We start from the raw sequence: 18,490 nt of genomic DNA on the forward strand, positions 1-18,490 counted from the left end.
AGCCCAGCCACCCCCAGCTGATCCTGCAGGGCACTGGGAAGCCACCAAGGTCATTAGAATAAGTACAGGTTTTAGGTCGGGTGCAGTGGCTCGTGCCTGTAATCCCAGCACTTTGAGAGGCCAAGGCGGGTGGATTACCCAAGAGTTTGAGACCAGCCTGGCCAACGTGGTAAAATCCCGTCTCTACTAAAACTACAAAAATTAGCCGGGCGTCATGGCAGGCACCTGTAATCCCAGCTACTCAGGAGTCTGAGGCAGGAGAATCTCATGAACCCGGGAAGCAGAGGTTGCAGTGAGCCAAGATCACCCATTGCACTCCTGCCTGGGCAACAAAAGCAAGACTCCGTCTCAAAAAATAAAAATAAAAAAAAATAAGTACAGGTTTTAGAAGGAACTTCAAAGTAAATGAATGTCCAGGAAATGAATGAAAAGCATAAATCAGTAGTGTGCCTTGTAGTTATGTGGCAGAAAGACAGAGCAGGGAAGCATGTAGTCAAGTCAGGAGCAGGCATTACAAAGGCAACAGTGCAAAAAGACCAGCAGCATCCACACATCTTCATAGATGACTTAAAATCAGATGGACAATAAATTGCCTATACTTGAGGTTCTTAGGGTTCCCAGTTTCATGATGAGAGTAACTAAAAAGCATTCACCATTTGTAAGAACACAGGTTTTTATAAGCATTTGAGGTTATCAGAAGAGATTCTGAGAATATTCTAACATCTCAGAGGTAATCTCGATTGTTATATAAAATTTCCTAAGTTCACCATGTCTCTCTAAGTAGGATGAGCTAAAGGAAAGCCCAGTCTTAATCATTTCACTGACCACAAAACCCTAATTAGTAAAATCCAAAGAAATAGGGAATGTCTATCCTCAAATTTCAACTGCTAACTCCACAAAATCACTAGGTGGGGTCAAAAGCTGTCAGGGGTCTTCTTCCAATCATACTTCCAAGCAACTCAAGTGTTCAAAGAAAACTGGTCTCCAAGATTCATCTTTTAGGATACATAAAAACAACCCCTACTTCCAAATAAACATGGGCCATGGAGGTATTGTCTCCTGCACCTGACAAGAGATTCTGTTACTGGAAAAGAACTAAATGTGGAATGCCCTGTCACCTCACCACAGACGGCACTAAAGGTGAACACCCAGAGACCCACTTGATAAAGGAACACAAACTTTTGTGTTATTTCCATTTGTTTAGGTTTACTTTACACTCACACCTTCAATAAAGGATGTAGCAAAGTTTGGCATCAAGAACTTAGCTGATCCAGGAGGGTGCCAGGAAGACACCACAGATCATTAGAATAAGTACAGGTTTTAGAAGGAACTTCAAAGTAAATGAATGTCCAGTAAATGAATGAAAAGGAAAACTCATGTAACTGAGTGGGCACACACACACGCACGCACACACATGCACACACCCGGAAGCTTATCATCTTCATAAACTCAGACAAGCCACTTACCCACCAACTTCCTCAGCTTTTATGCATCCATGAACTTGGCACAACAATGATGTAAACAAAAATGAGAAAGTTTATAAGCAGATGTACTTTGGACAGGAAACCATGAAAGAAACAGTGTCACTAGGATTTGCTAGAAGCATTTGTATTCCTTGACAGAGGCTTTTACGTTGGGCTTGTTGACTCTGATTTTTATCCATGAAGGAAAAGACAGGCAAGTCACCATATAACTTGTTATACCATAAAAAAGTATTTCCATTTATTCCAAACCTCACGCTCTCTTGGAAAGAAATAATTTGAAAACATGGAAATATTACGTTCCTGCACCCACATTTATCACGAATACCCTGCTTTTAGGATTATAAAGAAGCTGTGTCGGGATGGGGGTGTGGAAAGCACAGCAGGGAGCTTTTGGTGGTCAAATCCAATTGCAGCTGTGACGTGGCCTCCGCACTCCAAAGAGAAACAGGCTCTCCTGATCCCAGCCTCTGAGGGTGGGATTGATTACTGTAAACACACACAGGCATGGAAATCTTCATGTCTGATGCATTTCCTGTCCTCATCTCCCACGTGGTATTTTCTTACTCTGGGCTGTCCCCTGCTCCAGTTTTTTTCCACCCCAGGAAGAAAGAGGAGACCACGCCTGTCACCTTACCTACTAGCTTGCTGTCCCTCGAGAGAAGGCTTCAAACCCCTGCCGACTCTGTGGTTCCAAAGCCTGCTATGCTGTTTGCCTCTTGGCCAAGCATGAACTCTGAAAGCTACCCCCTGTAGGTTTTCCACCAGGGCATTCTTCCTCTTCTTTTTTTGGATGCAGGGAGAAAGGGAGTTCTTTCAAGGTTAACCAAGAAAGAAAAAGGATCGAGGTCCTATTTTCCTACTATGGTTTATGGACCTCATTTCTTTGGGCCCAGGAAGAAATGAAGTGAAACCCACATAAGGCTCCAGCTCCAGTCCAGGCAAAACAGTTCAGGGGAAACAGCATCCCTGTTTCTCTCTGTTCCCCTAACTCCTTCTCAACCTCTGATGCCCACCTGACTCCTAACCCATCACACACATTGCACCCATGATTCCATCCCCCAAATCAGTTCAGCCCAGCTGTCTAGATAATGTGCTACCTTAGTCTTTTCCATATTCCCTCCATCAGACATCCCCGACCCCATCCTGATAATGGCACCCCAAGGCCCTGCACCTGCTTCCCAGAGAGGCTGTTACTAGAATTCACTAGAAGCATTTGTATTTTCTGATAGAGGCTTTTACCTTAGGCTTCGATTCACACCATTGGCTACTACAACCTCTCGGAGGTGTGTACATGTTACCTTCACAAGGGCACTGCCAGTTTAGGAAAGGACTCACAGAAAGTGAACCACCTCCCACCCCCACCCACCTCCCCCCACCCCAAAAAAAAACAGAAGGGAATTGATTCACCCTGAATTGTCCACCTACCAGCTTCTGGACTCAGACACATCATTTCATTCCTCTGGGCCTGCCTCTGGATTCCCACCTTAGACTACTATTCTGAGAATTAGGTAACACATATACAATACTTAAAACAGCACCAGATACCTTGCAAGTGCTCCAACACATCAAGTTACCAGGATTCATCATCTCCATGACCTCTCGAGATAGATATTACTGGTCTCATCTTAAACCAGAACACAGAGGGTCAGCAAGGATGAGTAATTTACTTAGGATCACAGGGCTGATAATAAACAGAAGGGTTACTGCCCTCAGCCGACCAAATGAACAAAATTCATGCTGTTTTCACCATATCATTAAGAAATGACTCTCTAATGGTAAAACCAGGCTATTCTGCAGGTTGTGGGATTGTATGGCAGTGGTTCATGGTATCCCGATGCCGAGCCTTCAGAAGGTAAGGCTGGGCTTTGGACCATGAACAGCCTGGCTTGTTCTGGTAGGGACAACTCATGGCCCACCTTGGAGCTGCAGAGCCCTTGGTCTATCAAGTTACCTCTTTTAGTCTCAGGTTTTACAACTATAAAATAAGAGCAATTTACTTGAGAGGTAGTAAGCCTCTGATAGGTACATATCTTCATGGCAACAACTAAAACTACTTGTGAGGGAGCCTCCAAGAAAGGATCCTATATTAAGGGCAGTATATGGGTCAATTCTCACATTGCTATAAAGAAACACTTAAGACTGGGTAATTTATAAAGAAAAGAGGCTTAATTGGCTCACGGTTCTGCAGGCTGTACAGTAAGCATGATGTTGGCATCTGCTCGGCTCTGGGGAGGCCTCAGGAAACTTACAAACATGGTGGAAGGCAAAATGGGAACAGGCATCTTACATGGCAGGACCAAGGGTTGGAGGAGGTGCTATACACTTTTAAACAACTAGGTCTCGTGAGAACTCTATCAGGAGAACAGCACCAAAAGGATAGTGCTAAACCATCATGAAGGATCCACCCCCATGATCCAATCACCTTTCACCAGGCCCCACCTCCAACACTGGGGGTTACAATTCAACATGAGATTTGGGTGGGGACATAGATCCAAACCACATCAGGTAGCAAACCTGATCGCTGAAGTTCCTTCCAGTCCTAGAGGTGGAAACTTCATAGAGCAACAGGCTAGAGACTAACAATGCTTGTTTAAAAATCTTACTATCAGAGCCAAAACTATTGCTAACAAGCTTGAAAATGTCTGGTTAAAAATTCAAAATTAACTCCTTGCAGTCCAATTTTTAATCACCAAATATTCATGAAATCATGCCCCTCTCCCAACCCCCAATTTTCATGATATATTATAAACCCAAAGTTAGGCCTCTTTCCCTTCTGGTTTGCCCTACATTTGAAAAGCATTTGCCATTCTACTGTAGTGGACTTCCCTCAAAATAACCTCATTATTCTCTTCTTCCACAACTATGTCATTGATATAATGACTATCATCATGATTTTCGCAGCTATTTGTTGTGCTATAATTTCCAGATGAATTTCTGGTATAGAAACAAAACAGCCATAATAAGATTTTACAACTCTATTATTACTAAAGTACACCATGACTGAAATTAAAACTCTAAAATTTTTAGTATTTCATTTTTAATGCCATGCTCATTTTTGTAGTGAGCAAATAATTACTCTAAAGATGTTTATTATTAGTTTATTTTGTTTCTGATAATAGCTTCCTTTGGTTGGTACTTTTCAATAACTTACTGCAAAATTTTGAAAGATTAATATATTTTAATGGACTACAACATATGAATGCTTCTACGTACCAGATTTGGGGTTCTGTCCCGGTTCTGCCACTTGCTAGCACAATCTTGAGCAAGCTACTAAAGTTCACTGTGCTTTCTGTCTGCCCATCAAAAAATACAGGGCAAAGACAGAACCTACTCCTAATTATTATGAGAATGAAATTGGGTAACTTCTGCAGAATTTCACAAAATGCTTAAAAGTTAATTATTGCCAAGTATATTAGCAATTTTTTTAACTGACACAAGTACAAATATCAGAGATATTTAATATTTAAAATTGTACTCAAAAATTCTGCAGTCTCCTTTCTTTTTGTTTGTTTGTTTTTTGAGACAGAGTTTCGCTCTGTTGCCCAAGCTGGGGTGCAATGGCGCTATCTCGGCTCACCGCAACCTCTGCCTCCTGGGTTCAAGCGATTCTCCTGCCTCAGCCTCCCAAGTAGCTGGGATTACAGGCACGCCACCACGCCTGGCTAATTTTGTATTTCTAGTAGAGATAGGGTTTCACCATGTTGGTCAGGCTGGTCTTGAACTCCTGACCTCAGGTGATCCACCCACCTCAGCTGCCAAAGTGCTGGGATTACAGGCATGAGCCACCACGCCCAGCCTCAGTCTCCATTCTTAAACACGGGCAGGCCTCACATCTTACAGCAGTGGGGTTACCACCACCATTTGTTTCTTTTTCTGCCCACATAGTGAACTCTAATTGTTCAAAAGTCCGTTATGAACATCAGTTTACCTGACATATTTTCTGAGGAAATAACACTTCTTTCCCCACAACCCAAGGAAAGTGGACTTGTTTTCCGAGAAAATGGAACAGTCCAAGTCCAGGGTAGCAGATCTTAGCTAATCGGTACTAATTACTGGGCATTTGTTGAGGCTGATGGAGATGAAATTTTATTAGTAAACAAATCTCATAAAAGGAAAAGTAAACCCCTTGCATCCTCTAAAGTATTTTCCTAATCTATCTTAATAAGCATAGTTTCAATCTCTTTATTCATGATCATTCTTCATACTATAATAAGTGTACTTTGTCTAATTAATTTAATTTTAGAAATATAAAAACTAATTTCATACTTTACTACTGTTTTACTTGTTTAGGCTTGAGTATATTTCAGTTCCTGAAAAGCTACCCTGACATCTTAGGTAAAACCAAAGGCAAAATGACATAATAATTTCCCCTAATATTACCTCCTCGCTGCCGCAGTTTAACAGCGCATGAACTGACCAAAGAGAAGAATCCATCAAGGTAGTTAATGTCTTTTGAAGAGCAGACAAATATAAACCAAGTCATTGGTGATAGCCAACATATTGTATTTCCGATTACAGATACAGGATTCAGCTACCAAAGTGTAGTTAGCATGCACAGAGTGGAAAGAACGTTTCTTGATGAAAGAGCCCTCAATCAACCAACCAGGACCACTGAAGAAATCACATTCAAAATAATGTGCAACTATTTTAAAAAGCATTAGATCACCACAGTCCTTAAGGAGGCAGAACTAGTAAGAGACATAACAGTTCTCATGGTTACTTTAAGGCCTTTTTAGGGTTTGCTGAAGGTGGCAGTACATAGGCTGAGTGGCAAGAGATGGTGAGGTATATCGGAGTTTATCAATTATAGAACAGGTTCCTCTAGAAGGATATAAAGCACCGCCAAGTAGTTTTAAGCTGTGGCTTGTAGTTCTCTGGTGAATAGTTTTGTTAATTTAACTACTTGGGTTTAGGGCTAAGCATAGTGGGGTATCTAATCCCAGTCTGGTTCTTAGCTATTGTGTTTTCAGGATATTGAAGTCATTTCCATAGTGTATTTTATTTCAGCTGGGGTTTTTTACAACTTAGATGAAGTTTAGCTTTATTGGGTACAGACCTTAAACACTCTTTATGCTGACCTGGTGAAAAAAAAATAAGTAAGATGCTTGAGATGCAAAGATGAACAAGCCCAGCCCTCAAAGACCCACCTGCATCACCGGCCAGCACCTGGCCATCCCCTGGGATATGCCATGGTCTGCAAGATGTTGGAGGCAGCAAAGGCCATTTCCAGTTGGAATCAGGGATTCAGAGATGGGATCTGAACAGGGTATTGAAGGAAGAGTTAGAGTTTGAATAGAAGGATAGAGGAAGAAAGGGAAGGCAGGCATTCTAAATGAGGCAACAACTTGGGTAACACCTGGAGGCTAATGAGTTAACCAATTTGTATGAGAAGGGATCTTCCAACCAGATTCCCAATATTCCAGACAGGGTCCTATATGGAACAGTCCTTAAGCACCGTCTGTAAAATCTTTTCAATATTTTAAATCCAGTTGAAATCATAACCAATTTGGGAATAATAAATATAAGTTAAGCTACATCCTAACTTTAAATAAGACATCAAATTTAATTGTCAGTGCATGCAAGTGTCCTCTGTTCCAGAAAACAAATTTTTTTTCTTTGTTCCTACAACCCTTCAGACCTATGCCTTTACATGGTCAGCTCTCTAGAGAGCTTCTCTCCCTGGTGGCAAGGTGTTTAAGCCTCACATTCATAATGACCATCTGGGCGTGGATTACCCACGAAGGTCAGCTCTGACCTGTCCACTCAATGCTGCTTCTAAAGCAAACTCTTAATTTCTCCCAAATCTGTTTTTTTCCCTGCAATTTTATATCCGTTACCATTATTTACCCAATACCTCAGACTTGAATACCTGTGTATGTCTCACCACTCATTCAATTAATCTCCAAACTGCTACTAGCTCTGTCTCTGAAATGTCTCTTGCATTGATTCACCCTCCCATTCCTGCCACCCTCCCCAAGGGCTCAGGTCTTCATTACATCTCTGGACCTCCCCCACCCACCTCCATGGTCTCCCCACCTTCGTCCCTTCCTGCCCCAATCCATATTGATGACTGCCAGATTAAGCTTCTAAAAACACAGCTTTATGACCACATCCTCCTCCAGTCCCCAAACCATCAATGGCTTCCTGTCAAATAAATCCCTAAGTCCCCCTCCCACCAACCTTTCCAATCCTTTTTCATACTATTCCTACTCCCATACTCCCATACTACCAGTCCCAGTCATAAAGCATTACTCACTGTCTGGAAGACAGGAGCCACTTACCCCCATGCTGTCACCAATGCCATTCCTCACTGCCATGTGTCCAGACAATTACTGTCTACCCTTCACGGGCATTGTCAAATACTACATTTTTTGTGAAGGCATTCTGAATCCTCTGAATTCCACTACCATTTCATTCCTATACCACCTGGCAATTGCATCCCTTTGTACGCATGTTCTTACTCCTGCAGGGTAACCTTCTAAAGGAGCATCTTGGTATAAAAATAACCAAATCAACATGCTAATGAACTACTTTCTGACATGGAAGCATTATGCCAAGAGTTAGGGAAGATATAAGAGCATTAGCTGACAATGAAGTTGAGAAAGTACACTCAGCCCACAAAAAAAAATAAGCAATAATATCAACAACTCTTTTTAAGCATCATATACAGATGTTAGTCGAAGTCATGAAAATACAGGAGATCTCAGAGAAAGCACATCTCCTTAACAGAATGACAAGGCTGTGGCAGCATACTGCAGTGGCTTACAGCATCAATGCTGGAGACGTCTTGACTGGGTTCTAATCCCAGCTCTGGCTTTTACTTGCTTTGTGACCTCAGGAAAGTCATTTAGGCTCTCTGTGCTTCAATTTCCTCACCCATATAATAGAGACATTAATAGAACCGTCTACTCTACCCCGTAGGATTGCTGTGAGGAGTAGGCACGCACTGTAAGCAAAACCCTTAGAGCCTGGCACACAATTCATGGCGTAAGTGTCAGTCTTATGCTCATTATTATGCAAATGCTTTATATGGGGGAACAAAACACTAGACTCAGATATTTGGAAGTTAAGACACCTAGCAGGATATTTACTGGAAAAAGAGACTTGACCATTGTATCCTCAAGCCAGATTTGCTGTATTTCCTGGAGACAGGGATTTTGACTGACAGGTATGGTGAAACTCAGTTGGGGTGGCTCTTTGTACAAAGGATTGAATCCTGTGCAAATAGAACAGGCACACAGACCACTGAACCAAACACAAAGCTTCCAGCCATCGAAAGACTCATCCACAAACAGCCATTGTCTCCCACAAACAACTCGGCTGTTGTCATCCACATGGGCACCAAATGAAACCATTTGACTTACGTATTTTGGTCAGGGGTTCTGCGTAGACACAATGACAAATACAATTGATTGCAGCAGAATAAATTTAGAATGGTGCACTGAATTTAGTCTGATAAGCAAGTTCTTGGGTTCAGCATTTTACAGGACACTAATCCATGGCATTCAGCTGGACTAAGCATATAAGAGTCCATTTCAAAGACTGTCATATTATACAGTGATTTATTTATTAATGGTGTGGGAAACAGCTGTGACTGCAGGGTATCCACATCTGTCACTGTTCCCAAAAAATGTTAAAATGCATTATACATAAATTGCCACAAATATCTCAACTCGAACTTGTGTTGCAGACACATATACATACACAGTGAAATGAAAACTGCCAGTACACTTGAGGTTTTATTACTTTCTACTGAAAGTATTTATAGCTCAAAGCTGCTTGTTAATCACACGTCAAAATTATTAGGGTGGTAGGAATAACAAATATTATCATCATCTCATTTTCTGATAAAATACAGAAATTACAAGAATTATTGCAATAAGGCTGATGCTGCACAAGAAAAAACAAACAAAATCTGTCCCTTTTTTTGTGTTTGGAATCTCTATTTTTACTCACTACCAGGAATACTGGCACGGCTGCTTCAGCAAAGTCTCTTCATCCCAAATGTCAGGGAAAGTCAGACAGTAGACTGCCAAAATGAACACCCCCAAATCTGAGTGGCCAAATGCAGTAATGGTTTCTCTCTTCTTCACAGTGTATTCCAATGACACTTGGCAAGGGAGCATCTGCTCCACAAGGTCTCTTAGGAACCCAGGTTCTTTCTGCCATATCCTAGGACTTCAGACTTCTCCCCTGGACTCTTGAAACTGACCAGCAGATTAGAAAGAGAACGAGGGTAGAAAAGGCATCCCACTCTGAACTGCATCTCATTTCCATATACATCCCATTGGTGAGAACCAGTCACATGGCCCCACCTAGGTACAGAAAGTAGTATAGTCGAGTGATTGTCAACTAGGGGTAATTTTGTCCCCTAGAGGACATTTGGCAATGTCTGGAGACATCTTTGATTGAACTGGGACAACTGATACCTAGTGGGTAGAATCCAGGGATGCTACTAAACATCCCACACTGCACAGGACGGTCTTCCCACAATAAAGAATTATCCAGCCCCAGAGGTCAAAATGCTGAGATTCTGGTGAGCATCTAGCCAGCCTCTGCAGCAGTCACAGGTCCATGCTCAGGTCTAACATCATTGTCCACTAACATATACCCTAAGCAATCCCAACAAACTCACGTGTTAATCACTTGTTTGTTCATTTGCTTGTTTGAGCCTCCATTCATTCATCCAAACTCCTGAACAGACAAGATTTCTGTCTTAGTCTGTTTGTGCTGCTACAACAAAATACTTGTGATTGGGTGATTTATAAATAATAAATATTTATTTCTCACAGTTCTGGAAGTTGAGAAATCCAAGACCACGGCACCAGTGGATTCAGTGTCTAGTGAGAGGCCTCTGTTTCCAAGATGACACCTTATTGTTGTGTCCTCACGTGGCAGAAGAAATGGAAGGGCCTGGCAGTTCTCTGAAGCCTCTTCGGGCATTAATCCCATTCACAAGGGCAGAGCCTTCATGGCCTAATCAACTCCTAAAGGCCCAGCTCTTAATACCATCATCTTGGGGTTTAAATTCCAACATGAATTTTGGAGGGACACATACATTCAAATGATAGCAGTTCCTACAGCTAAAGAACTTACACTAGAGCTGGAGAGGCAACCATATGCAGAATTTTCACGCACAGGGTAAGTGGGATTAGAAAGAACAAATGGAAAGGAAAGTAAGTCTGCCTGAGGGAGCTGGAGGAGGATCAACAGGACAAGTAAAATGGGAACAAAGTATCGAAGAAAGTACAGTCTGCCCTCCATATCTGGGTCGCATATCTGTGGATTCAACCAACCATGGATCAAAAATATTCAGGAAAAATAATACTAAATGGTTACCTCCACTCCGAATGTGCACAGACTTCTTCATTTTGTCATTACTTGCTAAACGATACAGTATAACAACAACTTACATTTATATTGTGTTTACATTTACATCATGTTTACATTACATTTGCATAGCATTTACATTGTATTAGGCTTTATAAGTAATCTAGTGACGATTTAAAGTATACACGAGGAAGTGCATAGGTTATATGCAAAAACTATGGCATATCATATCAGGGACTTGAGCATGCATGGATCTTGGTTTCTAAGGGGGTTCCTGGAATCAGTGCCCCATAGATACTGAGTGACGACTGTATATATGGTACTTATAGCTTTCCATCACTATGCTGTGTTTTGCGGGAGGGCAGAGAGGAAGGATAGGGAGAAAGCGTGTTCCGGGGAAAGGGAACTACACAAAGGAATGGGAATACAAAAGGGTATGATTTATTCCACTTTCTGGTATGGGGTCAGGAAGAAACAGTAACTAGAGAGGGAGGATTGTAAAAACATTTTTTTGAGGCCAGGCACGATGGCTCACACCTGTAATCCCAGCACTTTGGGAGGCTGAGGCAGGCGAATCACCTGAGGTCAGGAGTTCGAGACCAGCCTGACCAACACGGAGAAACCCCATCTCTACTGAAAAAATACAAAATTAGCCAGGTGTGGTGGCGCACGCCTGTAACCCCAGCTACTCAGGAGGCTGAGGCAGGAGAATCGCTTGAACCCAGGAGGCAGAGGTTGCAGTGAGCCGAGATCCCGCCATTGCACTCCAGCCAGGGCAACAAGAGCGAAACTCCATCTCAAAAAAAAAAAAAAAATTTTTTTTGTGCACAGCTTTTTAGTAGTGTATTCCGAAAAATCCTAAGCTCCCAGACTCTGACAGAATCTCTCACATAACTATATACACTGGTGTTCAATTAAGTGGCCCTTCTAGAAACAATTCACACCACCTGACTTCACAGAAACCTGAATTAGCACAGGACAAAACTCAGGTAATAGCCAGAAATCTTGCTGCAAATTTCCCAACAAAACTTGACACCCAAGCTTTCAAACAACCCATTCTCTAAGTCAACATCAAACACATTCAACAGATGGGTGGCCAAAATTGTCCATCTTTGTTCCCAAAGACAGGTCCGCAAAGAATTCAGATCTCTTCCTAAATTACGTTACACTGAACCAGTTTTCAAAATGCTTTTGAACCCTAATCCCAGTTGTGAGTGTGGCTCACAGGCAGTTAAGAGGAAGGACTCAAGCCAGACTGCCCAGGGTCACATATCCCAGTTCCAGCTCCAGCACAAACTCGCCACGTAACCTTGGACAAGTCACCAGGCTTTTCCAAGTTCCACTGCCTCCCAGATAACGTGATTAAAGCACTTTAAACTGAAAGCACCCAAGCGTCTAATAAACACTATCTACTACTATATTTCTACTACAGTTATCTCCCCCACTCTCCCAAATTGTCTTTTGGTTGTCATGAAATACATTGCGGAATCCAAGATAGTTAGGAAAGGGAAATATCTGATAAATTTCCATGTCATTTTGTAAAACATTATTAATAATAACTTCAATTTGCATCAGGCAAAATGTTTTTAATTATGAAGCCAACACCACCATATAAACAACAGTTGTTCTTCATTTTGACTAAAACTGAATTTTGAAAATACCATACACCTACACAATTCTTTACCCTTATTCTTCTCTTTACTCACTCCTCCTCCCTCAAACTGTTGTCTTTCTCTCTCTAGTTTTCTTTTTTTTTTTTTTTTTGAGACGGAGTTTTGCTCTTGTTACCCAGGCTGGAGTGCAGTGATGCAATCTCAGCTCACTGCAACCTCCGCCTCTGGGGTTCAAGCGATTCTCCCATCTCAGCCTCCCAAGTAGCTGGGATTACAGGCGCATGCCACCACGCCCAACTAATTTTTGTATTTTTAGTAGAGATAGGGTTTCCTCATATTAGTCAGGCTGGTCTCAAACATCTGACCTCAGAGGATCCACCCACCTCAGCCTCCCAAAGTGCTGGGATTAGGTGTGATCCACCGCACCCGGCCTTCTCTCTCTCGTTTTCTTATTTTCACTGTAATCAGCTTGGGGAAAACAAAATGTATTTAGCTGTTAAGTACTATAGATTATAGCGAACGACACCAGTCACCTGGCACTAAAAAGCCTCATAAAAGGAAGAAATTTGTTTCTTTACAAGTCAGAATCTCAAGGGAGAAATAAAAATGAGGGATGCAGACTCCAGAACCCAGAGGACAATGAGTCTGTTCAGAACTGCTTCCTCTGATGGGAAGAGGAGAAGTGCAGATGGCAGGCAAACAACCCATTTCTAGGGTTTCTGTCTCAGTAAAATCACATTCACCTTTACTAAAAGCGGTAACAGAAGCTAATACTGTTGCCCTTTGCCATAGTCAAAGACATGAAATCAAATGAATGCTGAAGCAACTAGAACTAGGCTGACTCAGGTTTAGAATCCAAAATTGATTATCACTGTCTTCCTAATTTATAAGGAATTCTAAATTATCTAGATGGCATCTATTTTTCAATCTTCATTGCAAACTAGATTTGCCCCCAAGAGAATGTTATTTTAAGGAGCACAAAGAGAGGGTTTAGCATCTCCACGCACAAGTTCTACAAATAAGATGAAATAAATTTGGGGTGAAATCTGACATATTCTTATTTCCTTCTCAGAGAAGACATTTTTCCTTGTTAATTAACAGTCTTCTTATAGGACAGTGTGGACTGCCTTGAGATGCAATTCTTAAATAACTTATTGTTTTGTTATAAGATGTAGGGTGTATGAACAATTAATTTTTAATAGATCTGACACCTCTGTTGGAAAAAAGAAAAGTAAACTACAGTTGAGCATTCAAATTCAAACATCCGAAATCCGAAATGCTCCAAAATCAGAAACTTTTTGAGTGCAAACATGACACTCAAAGGAAATTCTCATTGGAGAATTTTGGATTTTGGATTTTCAGATGTGGAATGCTCAACCAGTAAATATAATGTTTGAATATTAAGTGTAATGCAAATATTACAAAATCCAAAATCCAAAACATAGATTAGCCTGTACTTAATCTGCAGAGAAACGAACTCTTTGTACTAATATTTAGCACTGTGTGTGTAAAAATAAAGGCAATTTATTAGATGCATTCTGTTTGCCTATAAAATTCCCCTTCCAAAAACAAGTCATTTGCCTTTTTATTCGGTGAAGTAATAGACTATGAAGAAATCTGGCTTGCCAGGAACACAGTGAACACAGTATCTTGGTGTGCATGATGATTACATGGGAAAGAGGCACGCAAGTGTCTGGCAATTGCCTTCAGGTGCTCTGTGCATGAGGTTACAGAACTGGCAACCAACAAACTAATCACTGTTGCTGGCAATTTGCTAAGGTTCCAAGGAGAAAGAGAGCACAAAGGGTTTTCATTTGAGGCATCAGCTAAATACTAGAAGAACTGGTGGCTTGGCTAAGGGCCTTATCAGTCTCCATCAATCCCACATGTTAGTAATGGAGACTCAGAGAGAGAGGAAATGCTGGCAAATTGGAGCCCAGCTCCTGAGATCTCTAAGATCTCTGCTATAGGGTGGAGCCAGGCCTGGTTCCCTTCCCAACCCCCACTTGGTATTACAGACTCATCACGAAAACCCTCTGGAATCTTTGGAAAGTAAACACTGGGTGCTGAGTACACAATGCCCCCCTCCACCCAACCCACACTACCATCATGCATACAACATAGGAATGTTCCAGAGGCATCCTAGCTTCAAACAAAAGACAAAGCAACTTGTCTGCTAGCATCATGCGGTTCCACCAGAAAGAAAAAAAACACAGTCATGAAGAGCATCAGCTCATACATAAACACACTCAGATACCAGCACAGGAAACCCAGAGCATATCTAGATGCATGCATTTTCAAATGAGTGATGGAAGGGCCCAGAAGAGTGAGGCGCAGACTGGTTCAAAGCCCACAGTGTTCAGCCCCTCAACCTGTCCTGGAATGCATGTCTCAGAGGCCTCTTGCACTTCTCTATGCAGCTTTCAAAAATATTTCTGAAGAATAAATTGATGCCACCATTTCAATAAGTCTTTACTGAGTGTCTACTGTGTACCGGGCCCCAAGCGGCTACCCCTTTTTAAGAAGAATTTCTAAAAGGTTTCATTAACTTTATATTTATATTGTATAGCCTAGATTCCTTGCCTTTATTAAACAGTTCTCTTCTTTTTAATAATAATAAATATCCCATTCCAAAAAGCAGATTCCTAAATAAAGGGGTTGACAAGGCTACAATGTTTTTTCCCATTTTATTCTGCCCCGCTTGCTCCTCTCTTGTAGGATGGTTGTATCTCTACTAACAATGTTAGATCTCTACAAAGCCTGCTTCAGGATGTCAAACAACAATCACAGAACAAGACTGGAGGGTGACCAGCTCATCCCAATTTTTCTGGGACTGTTTTAAAACGGAAAGTTCCATGACCCAGGTATGCTCTTAGTCATGGGCAAGTCTGGGGGTCACTCTACTCCCAAGAAAGCAGACCCTGAGAAAGAGGATGTCCTTCATTTCACTTGGGAAGAGTGAGGCCACAGGAGAAAGGCGACTCATCTCCTTTAAGGAAGACTCAGGTTGCCTGGGGGCTAGCTCAGAACCCTTTCTCAGACTCCTCTCCTCCAGTTGCTTCCAGCTTTTTCCCCACTTCCTCCTGAGAAGGCCTATCATTTTAAACTCAGAGCCACTGAAAGCTTTACAGACTTTCAAACCAAAGACTCTGACAATAATGACAGGTAAAAGAAACTCCCATGTAAACGCTGAAGGCTGTAGTTACTTGGATGCCATCACCTCCTTGGCTAGCTTAAGGGCTTCTTCAGGTTAGACCATGCCTATTCATCCCGATATTTCCAGAACTGAGCCCAATGATTGGTGGATGGTAGATGCTGGATATAAGGACGTTAGCAACAGCTGCCATTTATTTAGTCTTACATTGTGGAGGGCAACACACTAAGCACTTTATATGTAAGTCTCTCCTGTTCTTACACTAACTCAATGAGGTCGGTTCTCCCCCATTTTGCAGCTGAAGAACAAACTCAGTCAGACCTTGTGCACTCAGGTCACGTGGCAGACGTGAAATTTAAACCCAAACCCATCTTACTTTTTAAAATTCCAGTTCATAATGACTTACCTGAATTAGAGCCATGTAAGGCAGGCATATATGCTAAGGTATCAAGAATTGAGAGAATATCAGATACATTTCTTTTATTCTCTACCCTTTTAGCTTTGCCATTACAAAAAAAAAAAAAAGCAGAAAACCAAATTAATTATGAGTTAAATACCTACAGGAAGCTAGAAGGCAGGGATTTTTTTAGAATTATGCCTGGTAAAACATAGGCATTCAACATTCTTTTGTTTGTTTGTTTGTTTGAGACAGTCTCATTCTGTCGCCCAGGCTGGAGTGCAGTGGCACAATCTCAGCTCACTGCAACCTCCACCTCTCAGGTTCAAGCAATTCTTCCTGCCTCAGCCTCCAGAGTAGCTAGGATTACAGGTGCCCACCACCATGCCTGCCTAATTTGTATCTTTTAGTAGAGACGGGGTTTCTCCATGTTGGCCAGGCTGGTCTTGAACTCCTGACTTCAGGTGATCTGCCTGCCTCAGCCTCCCAAAGTGCTGGGATTACAGGCGTGAGTCACCATGCCTGGCCATTCAAAATACATTTAATGAATGCAATTGTTTGCCTAATAAGTGGTTTAAATACCTGATGCTCAGTGTTTCAAATGCTATTTTACACACCACCATAGGTGAATGGATGGATCTGTACCTTCAGTTTCTGAAGTACCAATGTAAAGGAGTGGAGTGGATGGACTATTTATCCCAGTTAAGGACACCTCTTTACCTGCATGGTTGAATTAACTATTACTCACTTAAAATGGCAGTAATCTTATGTCTCATGCAACAAAAGGGGTAAATTCTCCAAAGTACACAAATTTGTCCATGTGCTCACCAACCACTTCTAATCTCATATTATTAATCTTCGAGGAAGCAATTTGCAAACCTACCCCAGAACAACACAACTGCAAAAGAATATCACAACAAATACTTGGTTCCTGAGACACTTATCTCAGCCCTATTCACTACCTTTCAAACTGAGAGTGTTTTGTTTGTTTGTTTGAGACAGAGCCTCGGTCTTTTGCCCAGGCTGGAGTGCAGTGGTGCGATCTCAACTCACTGCAACTTCTGCCTCCCAGGTTCAGGCAATTCTCCTGCCTCAGCCTCCCAAGTAGCTGGGATTACAGGTGCACACCATCATGCTTGGATAATTTTTGTATTTTTAGTAGAGATGGGATTTCACCATGTTGGCCAGGCTGGTCTCAAACTCCTGACCTCAAGTAATCCACCCGCCTCAGCCTCCCAAAGTGCTGGAATTACAGGCGTGAGCCACCACGCCCAGCCGAGAGCGTTATTTTAATATTAATGTATTTCTGGTCATTTTCTTCAAGCAGCTGAACATATTTCCCTCTTTCATAATAACACTCTCATAATGATCAAGCATTTTGAGTATCAAAGAAGAGTTTCTATCATGTGAATGAGTATTCCAAAATCAAAAAAAGGGAGGTAAAACAGATGTATATCACAAAGGTATTGAAGCCTTTAATTATAAACGCAGGTGGGGCAGTCAGCGGTGGGCAACTACACCCAGTCATCACAAATCCAGGCATCAATGCCTGCTCCGTTAGATTGTGGGGTGGTCTGGTAGGCTGTAAAGTCCTAAAGCTGCTTGTTGTATGTCACCAAGTAGAGGTTTTTTTTCTTTTGCTTTCTTTTGCTTTCTTTTTTTTTTTTTTTTTTTTTTTTTTTTGTGGGCAAAGTAGGAGGCAAATGGAAGTTGAAAAACAGGCTTTGAGTAACAACTAATTTTGTTAGAATCATGACCCTCATTGAGAACATTCACCTCCCAAACATTGGTATACGTACTGCAGCCTGGTCATTCTAATTTGATTCAACATTTAATCATTATTAATGCAAGTAGGGGAAGCTCTTAAAAATAAGTTTCTATCTTCTTAACTTCCTTTAAGACTTCAAGCTAAAAGGGTCTAAAATTCCTTTAAATCACTGTAAGTCAAAATCGTTTTCTGTGTTGTCAAAGAGTCACCAATGATTTGTTTATTGAGCCCTTCCTGTGTACAAACACGGTGGCAAACACACAATGGTGTAAAGCCTCATCCAGTCATCTTTAAGGAGCTTGCAAGAGAACTGAGATCTCTTTGAGTGCCTATACAACCAATCTGTTTTTCACTTTCAATACAGTATTCAATAAACTACATGAGATATTTGATGCTTTAATACAAAATAGGCTTTTTGTTACATGATTTTGCCCCCATTGTAGGCTAATTGCAGGTCACAACTGCTACATCAGCCAGCCACAGGCCCCCTTGGAAGGAACTGTGCCCCCAACCCTCTCCTGCACTAAGCAGGTCCAGGGTGAATGATAACTGGAAGGGTCCCATTCACTGGAACTCTTGGGAAATGTGGCTTGATGACAAGACATCCTGGGACATCTCTTCAATTCACCTCCCTTTATGCAAACAAGCTTGAGTGAATTTCTATTCTTTGCAATTAAACAGAAAGAAAAAGACACTTCAATCGTAGGTGATAATACAAGACAATCTATGACAAGTGGCCTTTGT

The 18,490-nt window shown here is 41.6% G+C and overlaps 1 protein-coding gene across 7 annotated transcripts in view; it reads right to left on the reverse strand.

Annotated features, from left to right (window-relative positions):
- Nucleotides 1–18,490, reverse strand: part of RNF152 (ring finger protein 152) — an 86,346-nt gene that overhangs the window by 60,286 nt on the left and 7,570 nt on the right. The gene's annotated exons all lie outside the window — the stretch shown is intronic.

This window comes from Homo sapiens, chromosome 18 (genome assembly GCF_000001405.40).
Source record: "Homo sapiens chromosome 18, GRCh38.p14 Primary Assembly".
In the NCBI taxonomy this organism is placed as follows: Eukaryota; Metazoa; Chordata; class Mammalia; order Primates; family Hominidae; genus Homo; species Homo sapiens.